This window comes from Homo sapiens, chromosome 8 (assembly GCF_000001405.40).
Source record: "Homo sapiens chromosome 8, GRCh38.p14 Primary Assembly".
In the NCBI taxonomy this organism is placed as follows: Eukaryota; Metazoa; Chordata; class Mammalia; order Primates; family Hominidae; genus Homo; species Homo sapiens.
In genome coordinates, this window is record NC_000008.11 from 61,740,616 (window position 1) to 61,751,120 (window position 10,505).

The 10,505-nt window shown below is 37.6% G+C and overlaps 1 annotated feature.

Moving 5' to 3' along the window:
- Positions 7,975 to 8,054: a silencer, noted in NCBI's record as "silent region_19237". NCBI's record gives its function as "represses an Ori minimal core promoter by ATAC-STARR-seq in GM12878 lymphoblastoid cells {active_cell/tissue: GM12878}" and the evidence as "EXISTENCE:reporter gene assay evidence [ECO:0000049][PMID:35858748]".

The window sequence follows — 10,505 nt, forward strand, 5'->3', positions numbered from 1 at the left end:
CCGTAACGGCATAATGATAAAAGGTTCCAGTCATTAAAAACTTACTAATACTTTCAAAATACATGAGGTAAAAATTGATACACCAGTTGGAAGAAGTTGACAAATTCCCTATCACAATGGGAGCATAATAAGCTGGAGCAGACAAAAATAAGCAAATAAACAGAAGAGCTAACAATTAAAACAGTAAGTCTGAATGAGTGAACTTTTAGGAGTTCTGCCTCTAACAGGTTATAGAATACACATATTTCTCCAGCAAACAGAAAAACACTTATAGAAATTTATCATAACTCAGCCATAAAAAAGCCTCAAAAATTTTAATATATACATATTATATGAACTATGATTTTTGTGTACAATGCAAATAAGATAAGTTAATAAAAGATACATCAACAATTCTCAAATATTTGGAAATTAAAAATCACATTGTGTTTAATAACACATGGGTTAAAGAGCAAATCACAATGAAATTCAAAAATACCTAGAACCAAATAATAACGTGTGTGTGTGTGTCTGTGTGTGTATAGTGTTAAGAGCAGCTTTAGGTTTAGAGACATAATGGGAAGACAGTACAGAGAATTCCCACATACCCTACACCATTTTCCTTTATTATTAACATATTAGCAGGGTACACTGGCCACAATTGATGAACCAATATTAATACATTATTATTATTAAACTTTATACTTTATTCAGATTTTCTCAGTTTTTCCCTAATGTTCTTTTTCTGTTCCAGGATCCTATTCAGGACACTACATTACATTTAGTCATCATGTCTCCTGAAGCTACTGTTGGCTATGACAGTTTCTCAGATTTTCCTTAATTTTGACAATTTTGAGGAGTACTTGTCAGATATTTTGTAGATGCCCACTATTGGAATTTTATGACATATCTTCATGATTTGACTGCAGTTGTGGTTTTCTGAGAGAAAGATCACAAATTTAAAGTGCTGTCCTCATCACATTGCATTAATGGTAACAACTGTCAACAGGATGTATCCCTGTTGGTGTTGACCTTGATCATGTGGGCAAAGTAGTGTCAGGTTCTCCTCTGTGAAGTCACACCTCCTCCCTCTTTCTATAATGTACTCTGTCAAAGGAGGTCGCTATGTATAGCTTATGCTTACACAGTGAGGAATTAAAATGCTGTATTTCCACACTGTTATAAAAATGATGGTTTGAGGGAAATTCATACCTTTAAATATTTCTGTTAGAGAAAGAGTTAATCATCAGAATGAATGAGCCAGTTGTCCATCTTAAGAAGTTGAACGATGAACAACAGAATAAACTCAACAGAATAGAAGAGATGATTAAAAATTACAGCAGAAATCAATAAAACGGAAGACAAAGCTGTCAACAACATGATAGTTATCAATAAAACTTAAAATTAGTTCTCTGAAAAAGAAACTAATAAAAACAAATAAATCTCTGGAAACAATGCTTGGGAGAAGAATAGAGAAGTCCCAAAACAGTATTATGAAGGAACTGGAGTATTATGGTCCACATGGTGGGCCCCAGCCATTAGCTCTTGAGTCCTTCCTTGTCTCACACTGCTGTTCTTTGTAGCAAAGCCATGTTTCATATTCTGAGTTGACGAACTTTGTTCAACCATAAATCTCACCATGGTTTGTTCCACTTCCCCTTACCCCAGTAAGTAAGCAGACCTTAGTAGACAAGGATATTGGCTTCCATTATTAGCATCAAAACCAGGAGAGCACCAGGTGTCTGAGATAAGGTCTTGTAGATTGTGGTCTCCCAAAGCAGATTCTGACATGGGAATTGGGGAGCAATATGTTTTCTGGAGATCAGTACCTGTGAAAGGAAGGGTCTGAAGCAGGATGGGAAAAAGGAGACATCCAACTGTGGTAGAGTTCCTGCAAAACCTCAGACAATCTAGCAGGGAGCTCAGGAATGAGTGTCCCCCATCAGAATGTCCTCCACTGGCTGAAGTGGTTGTGCCTTTATACATGCATCTTTCAGTCAGTGGATGCCAGCTGCTTCAGGGAGGGTGTGACCTTGGGTAAGTGGTTCTCTAGAGCTGAAGGGGACCCCAGAGGATTGACAGCTGGCACTCTTACTACCCAATCTTAAAGAAAATGAGCAAGACAAGAAGACTAACACTACCAGATATCAAAATACATTATTAAGTAACAGTAACAAAGACAGTAAGGAATTGGCATAGAGATGGACAAATATACCAATGGAACTATAACGAGTACAAAATAGAACGACCCATGTGTGGGCTTTTGATTGTGCAAAACAGTATTGCAGTACACTGAAAGAAGAAACGATCTGTTTTTTGTTTGTTTGTTTGTTTTGTTTTGTTTCATTTTTTCCTTTTGAGATGGAGTCTCGCTCTGTCTCCCAGGCTGGAGTGCAGTGGCGCCACTCACTGCAAGTTCCACCTCCCAGGTTCACGCCATTCTCCTGCCTCAGCCTCCCGAGTAGCTGGGACTACAGGCACCCGCCACCATGCCCTGCTAATTTTTTCTATTTTTTTTGTAGAGACAGGGTTTCACCGTGTTAGCCAGGATTGTCTCGATCTCCTGACCTCGTGATTCTCCCGCCTCAGCCTCCCAAAGTGCTGGGATTACAGGCATGAGCCACCGCACTGGGCCAAGAAATGATCTTTTAATAAATGAAGCTGGGTCATTGGATAGTGTATCAGTCAAGGTCCAGTGAAGAAAGCAGATATCACACCATTTCCTTCAGCAGAGAGAATTGAATGTAGGAATGTGGTAAACAAGTGTTAAAGAACTGCAATAGCAAAATGGGCACAGTTAGAAAATAGAGATAGTGTGCAGAAAGCAGCTATCCCTGCTGGGATTTAATAGTCCAAAAGGAAGAGTTTGTGATTCTTAGAACCTAAGAGCTTGAAGGAAAGGCCCATCACAGTGGGGACCTAGACCTCACAGGAAGGGGTACCACAGGATTGGTGCTGATTCCTCTGAAGGAGTGCAATGAGGCTAGCATTGGGAGCATGGAAAAAACTAGCAACCAGAACAACTACTATTGTAAACAAGACCATTGCTGTACCTAAGCTCCTTGCTGGAGTGACCCTAACAGAGTGAACAGGAAGGAGCATGTGCCTGGTCCTTCTCAAACTTCTAGTCTCCCTCTAGGGCCTCCTGCTCATGAGACATCATAGAGCACAGTATGACAAAGGAGATGCGGGGTTTGTTGAGTCCCACCCTGACATCACAAAGCAGAGTACAAAAGAGTGGGTTTGTAGTCCCCCAAATAGCTTGATATCCAGCACCAATGTTTAAGCAATATGTGTATATTACTTAAAAATAAATATTGATCCCTACCACATTATACACAAAAATCTATGCCAGACAGATTTTTAAATGTAATTAGGAAAGGCAAAACATAATTTATCTAGAAGAAAACATAGACAATATAGGAGAATAGCTTTGAGAGAGGAGAAGAGAGAGAGAGCGCGCGCACGCACACAACAGCAACAAAAAGTTAACAAATAATGAATCTAGGTGAAGGGCATATTGGTATTTATCATACTATTTTTCAACTTTTGGTAGTTTGAAAAATTTTAAAACATTTGAAGCAAAATAAGCAAAAGAACACTGATCAATGACAATGAAAAAAATACAGTAGTATCCATTCCCATGTTCTAAATTACTTTCCAGCCTGATGGACACCTGGAGACATTGGTAAACATGTTTGTTCAACACCAGTATGACTTTACTTTGCCTCAAAATTAGCATGAAAGTTTTCTTTGCCAGTACGAAATAATTCAAAGTTCAAAAACAATTTGATAGTCTAAATTCTAATGGGAGGCGGTATTCATTCAATTTTTTAGAAATATGTATAAGATGAGCCAGGCACGGTGGCTCACGCTTGTAATCCCAGCACTTTGGGAGGCTGAGGCAGGCAGATTGCCTGAGCTCGGGAGTTCGAAACCAGCCTGGGCAACATGGCGAAACCTCGTCTCTACTAAAAATACAAAAAATTAGCTGGGCGTGGTGGCTGGCGCCTGTAATCCCAGCTACTCGGGAGGCTGAGGCAGGAGAATAGCTTGAACCCGGGAGGCGGAGGTTGCAGTGAGCCGAGATCACACCACTGCACTCCAGCCTAGACGACAGAGCAAGACCCCGTCTCAAAAAAAAAAAAAAAAAAAAAATTTGTATAAGATGATTTAATTTGACTATTTCTAGGGCTGGTCCATTTACTTAGTATTACATTTAAATTAATACCAGCATGGGGGCCAAGAATGATTTTAAAATATATTAAACATTTGTATTGTCTAAGATAAGTCAAAAGAAAACGCAATCAAAAGTAACAAATTCTTTAAAAGGCTCTTTCTCTACTTATCTTTGTCTCTTACACATTTTACAGCTTCAAAAATCTTTCTTTAAATGTGAAACCTCCCTTACTGCTCAGCTCCAACACAGACTCACTTCTCCCCATGTAGTTTCTTATATTTTAAAATCCATTTTTTTCCTTACTTACTATTTGTTTTTATTTTCAATCTAAATCCTACCTCCCAGCTTCTGGCTTGTCCTTATTTTTAAATTCTTTTTACTTTTGTTCAGTTAAGATAAGGTAACTGCTGTAACAAAGGGACCCAAAAATCCAGGGGCTTCAAGAAAAAAGATTTTTTTTTTCTTTCTCATGTTAACAACTCCAAGGCAGATGCTCTAGCTTCATGATTCAGCTCTGCTCCATGTGGTCACTTCACAATCCAGGCATTTTCTGTTTTAGAGCTCCACAATTCCCTAAAGTATTGTCATCATCTGCATGGTTAAGGTTTGATTACTTTGGATTCCAGCAAACATAAAGGAGGAAAGTAGGATATTGAGGAGGCAGCCCACAAGTGACAAATATAACTTCAACTTGTGAGAACTTCGTCACATGGCCACACTTAAAATATAAGGGAGCCTGAGAAATGTGGTCTAGCTATGTATCTGATAACAAGGGATGAATAATGAGTAGCTTTGTTGGATAACCAAAAATTTCCCCAGACTACTCATTATTCTTCAATTTAAAAAAAAAAACTTTGAAGATTAGAAAGGAAGGGCCATGTGTATGTTTTGGGGATGTCTAGTGTTATGGCTGTGAATAGGTTAATACTGCTGTTTTTCTTGTCTGCAGATGCTTTTTATGTACATTAAACTGCTCAGTTCAATAAATACTTCTTGACTATCTGCTATGTGCTAGGCACAATGTTAGTGTATTCATCCATTTTCTTTCTTTTTTAAAAACATTTTTATAGATTCAGGTGGTACACATGCAGGTTTGTTACATGAATATATTACATAATGGTGTGGTTTGGGCTTTATTAGTCCATTTTCTGTTGCTACAACAGAGTAACACAGAGTGAGGAATTTATACAGAAAAGAGATTTATCTATTGCTCATTGTTCTGGAGGTTGGGAATTCCATGATCAGGGGCTGCCTCTGGTGAGGGCCTTCCTGCTGCATTATGACATGGCAGCAGGGCAATTGAGCACACGAGACAGACAGAGGAAATAGGGCCGAACTCATACTTTTTATTAGGACTCCACTCCTGTGATAATGGCTTTAATGCATTCATAAGGGCATAGCATGAAGGCATGAGGGCAGCTCTCATGACCTAATTGCCTCTCAAAGTTCCCACCACTCAACACTGTTACAATGGCAATTAAATTTCAACGACATCAATTTTGGCAGGGACAATCAAACCATAGCAATTAGGCACCATCAATACAAATCTTAATAACATATAATTGGTTCTTTGGGGAATTTGCTGTTCAGTGGAAGAGACAAACACAAAAAGATGATGTCAGTATACTGTGGTACTTCAAAGGGAGCTTTTGATGGAATTGATACATTTCATTTAAAATAATGTCTGTTATTCTCAAACAAAATATGTTCCCACTTACATTTTTTATAGTCAGTAAACAGGTTTTTCGGTTTATAATATAAACAACTCCTTTTTTTCTCCAAAGAATTCCTTCAATGCATATGGTTCTAGTGGCAGCCACCAATCACAGTATGCCACCTCATGTACAATGATTGAACTAGAGGTTGTCACATGACCAAAGTCAGCCCAATCAGAACTCTTACATCGTGTGTCAGTCCATTTGTGTTGCTATAAAGGAATACTGGAGGCTGGATAATTTATTTTTATTTTTAAAGACGTTTATTTGGCTCACAGCTCTGCAGGCTGTACAGGAAGCATGGCACCAGCATCTGCATCTGGGAAGCAACTCAGATTGCTTCCACTCATGACAGAAGTGAATAGGAGCAGGTCTGTGCAGAGATTACATGGCCAGGAAGAGGAAGAGAGAGAGAGAGAGAGAGATGAAGTGCCATCAGTTCTTTTCCACCATCAGTTGTTATGGGAACTAAGAGTGAGAGCTCACTCCCGTGTGAATGGCACTAATCTATTCACGAGGGACACACCTCCAAGATGCAAACATTTTCCATTAGGCCGCACCTCCAATACTGGGGATTAAAATTCAACATGACACTTGCTGGGGCCAAACAAAGCATATCCAAACCACAGCACCTGGGGAGATTTTTTCACAATTGATCTGGGAAAAGAGTGCTCTCTCCTTGCTGGCACAGAGGCATGAGGATGCATGCTGTGAGTAGAGGACAGCCATGTTCCTGTCATCTGAAGAAACCTACCTGCAGCTGCAGAGAAGGAATATCAGAAATAAAAGGTAGCTATAACTATCTGAAAGATTGTGTTAGTCTTTAGTTCTCATCATCCCTAACGACATGTGGTTTAGGCATGTGAACCAATAAAATATCCTTTATTTCATTCAAACACATTTGAGCTGGGTTTCTATCATTTGTAATCAAAAGAGTCCCACATAACTCAGTAATGGGTCATATACATGGCACAATATTTTTTAGGAAAGAATTTGTCTAGGTATAAAATTATTTCTAACTTTTGAAGTAAAGATACAATGAAAATAGGATGTCATTGTAAAGATAGAAAAGAATGAATGGGGATAGGAATGACATAAATAACTGTATGAAGGCAAAATGAACAGCCTCAGAACTCAAAGTCTATTTTAAAATCTGAAAATTCACCAAAAAAACTATATAAGAAAGCAAAGAATGTAAATTATTCTCTCAGATTTTGGAAACGGAACTTAATTTTAAGTCAAATATGGGAACTTACTACTCTTGCTCTGAGTACTGGATTCCATTTTTACAGTGTTAAGAAATAACTCAGTTGCAAATGTTGGTCATTTTTTAATATTATTATTATAATAGCCGAAAAAAGGACATTTTAAAGCTGCAATTCCTCAGCCTAAATTAATTGAATCAGCCATGCGTTAAATATTATACTGTGCTAAAATGAAAGCTGCAGCTGAATTTTGGTGTATATACTTAGCAGACAGCAATTGAAAGGATAAACATCAAATTTTGAAAAAAAAGAGTGACAACTGCTGTATCTTTTAAAATATAATTTGTTTTTCTATCCTCTTCTGCTCTCTGCTCTTATTGTTTCCTTTTTGCACATCCTCATTTAAATGGTCTCCTTGGCTCTTATTTAGAGAATGCCCAGCCACTCTGTAGGCATCCTCCAAGCCTGTCTTCAGAATATTCTCAATTTCTCCCCTAGAGCTCTCCCTCTGAAAGTGAGGCTGGCCAGCTTCCACTAGACTATGAATGTTCATCCATTAGGAACTCCAGGTCAAGGAGAGTTCTAGACCTTGCTTTGGCAAGAATTCTAGACCTTGCTTTTCTGGTGCTGTTTAGAAAAGTTATCAAGTGGAAAGGTCTAATCACTCTATAGTAACTAGCTTTTAAGTAATGTCTGAAATGCATAAAGCAACTTTTAAACTCTTAAAAATCTAGCTCCTGCCTATGTCTTAGACCTCACCTCTTAGCTCCCTTCTCCTTTGTACTTACCTCACCGATTATACTCAGGTTCTTTCAGCTTCGTTGACTCTCTCTTATTAATATCTTAGGGCTCACTACTTCTCTCTTAACTTGGCAACCTTCAGATGTCAGCTTAACCACTGTTTCCTCTTTCACTGCCTAGGCCAGATTTGGTGCCTCTATTTATAGAACTTGCATCTGGCAGATACCACATATGCCTTTGCAGTGCTGCATCCCCAGTGCCCAATATGGGCCTGACATGTATTAATTAATTTTCCTGTAGACCAAGCAATGATGAAAGGGATTCAGTAAATATAGGAAATCAGCACCATAAGTTAATAGAAACTCCTCCCTGGAAGAATTCCCGGCTGACCGTTTCTTATTCTGATGACTTAGTAGCTACATTTCCACATGGCAAGGTAAATTTATAACTTTCATCTAGGTCACTGGGTGATAGGACAAAAATTTAACATAGATGCTATAGTAAGTGTTTACTTTAACAAGGAAAATAAACACCATTCCTCCTATGAGCTATTTTCAGATAACTTGCATGGTACTTAAAATGTTTGCTGAAGTCCTAATAGTAACTGGATATTTAAAGAAAACTTGGATAAATAATACCATAAGTCACATTTTAATAGAAATGTTATCTGTCCACTTGGGGCACTGGCCTTAAACGTTTTGTTAATTTTTAATTTAATTTAATTTTTAATTGACAAATATTCATTGTATATACTTATGAGGTACAATGTGATGTTTTGATATATGTATACATTGTGCAGTAATAAAATCCAGCTAATTTACTTATTTTTTGTAATGAGAATATTTAAAATCTGGCCTTTTAGCAATTTTGAAATATACAATATATTATAATTAACTATAGTCACCATGTTGTGCAATAGATCACTAGAAGTATTTCTTCTGTCTCACTAAAGCTTTGTATCCTTCCACCATGTGCTTTTTCCTCATCACCTCTCCCCAACCAGGCTCTAGTAACCATCATTATACTCTCTGCTTCTATAAGTTCAATGTTTTGAGATGTCATATATAAGCAAGATTATGCAGTATTTGTCTTTCAATGCCTGGCTTATTTCACTTAGCATAATGTCCTCCAGGTTCATGCATGTTGTCTCAAATAACAGAGTTTTCTTCCCTTTTAAAGCTGAATAGTATTCCATTGTATATATATACCACATTTTAATTTTTGTATTCATTCATTTATTGATGGACAGTGGTGTATTTTTTATCTTAAATCCATTTTACATTGTAAGCCTCTAAGTCTGTGTACCGGTCTGTGTGTTTATGTCTAAGTGACTCTATCTATCATCTCCATTTGTATATTAAAATTTTACAAAATAATACTTATTCTTACTATACATGATATACTCTGGTCTATTCTCTTCTTTTCTGTTGTTATATTCTATACTAAGTAATAAACAAAATTTTTTTTAAAAACTGATTAATGAATGGTTCATGACCTCAAGTTCATAAAACACAAATCTAGTGTCTTTTATCTTTTCAAATTCTTGCTAGCCTCTTCTTGCCTTCTGCACTCCTAGCTGTGTAATAAAGAATTTGCCTGGGATTTTTTGTCCCTGGTTTCTGGTGTGGTGCTTTGACAACCTTTGATGTTTCCTGAGTGATAGAAGTGGCTTTGTTATTCATGGGACCCAGGGTCACACCTGACTTTATGCTAATGAGATGACTCAAAGCAGGCCCTTAGAGAGCTTTAGGAGGAGCATTGGCCACCAGAAAGACCAAGCATAGGTTAGCATGTTGGGACTTCTAGCTGCCTGACTTCCAAGAAGAGGAAGACAGCTGGAGATTGAGTTCATTCAAGTGGCCAATGATTTAATCAATTGCACCTACATAATAAGACCCAAATAAAAACTGAACATGGAAGCTTAGTGACAGTAAACATATCACTGGGCAGACAGGCAACATGCCCTGATTCCAAAAGGAGATGGCATGGACACTTTTCATTTGGGACCCTCCCAGAAGGTACTCCATGTTTCCCTTTATTTATGTTTCACAGTTGCATCCTTTATAATCAAGTGGGAATCACAAATATAGTCTATTCCTGAGTTCTGTGAGTCGTTCTAGCAAACTATTGAACCTGAGAGAGATTGTGTGAAACCCCAAATTTTTGTCAGTTGGCCAAAACTGAGGGTGGCTGGAAGACTTGCTGGACTTGTGGCTGGTGTCTGAAATGGGGACTGGCATGTGGAGGACATTACCTTGTGGGGTCTGTGCTAGCTCAGGGGGTTAGAGCCAGGATTGAATCACAGTACACCAGTGAGGGTTAGAACTGGATACCCCTCCTTGTTCTTTTCAAATAATCTTTTACAAAAACATTCTTGAGGTGAATATAGATTCATATAATCCTATTGAAAGACATTTTTAATGGGATAAAAGTGCCATCCTGATGGCTGTAACAATATCACAGTTACTATTTTGTATTTCCTCATTTTTTTTTTCATATTCCTTAGCCATTTGGACTTAATTTTCTGTGAAGTTTATTTCCATAGCTTTTTCTCATATTTCTAATAGGTTGCTGCTATTTCCTTATACATTTTTAAGCATTTATAAATTAATTATAAATATTAAGTCTTAATTTGTTTTTAATATTAAAACTAATTTCTCTGGTTCTACCTGGGACTCTTCAATC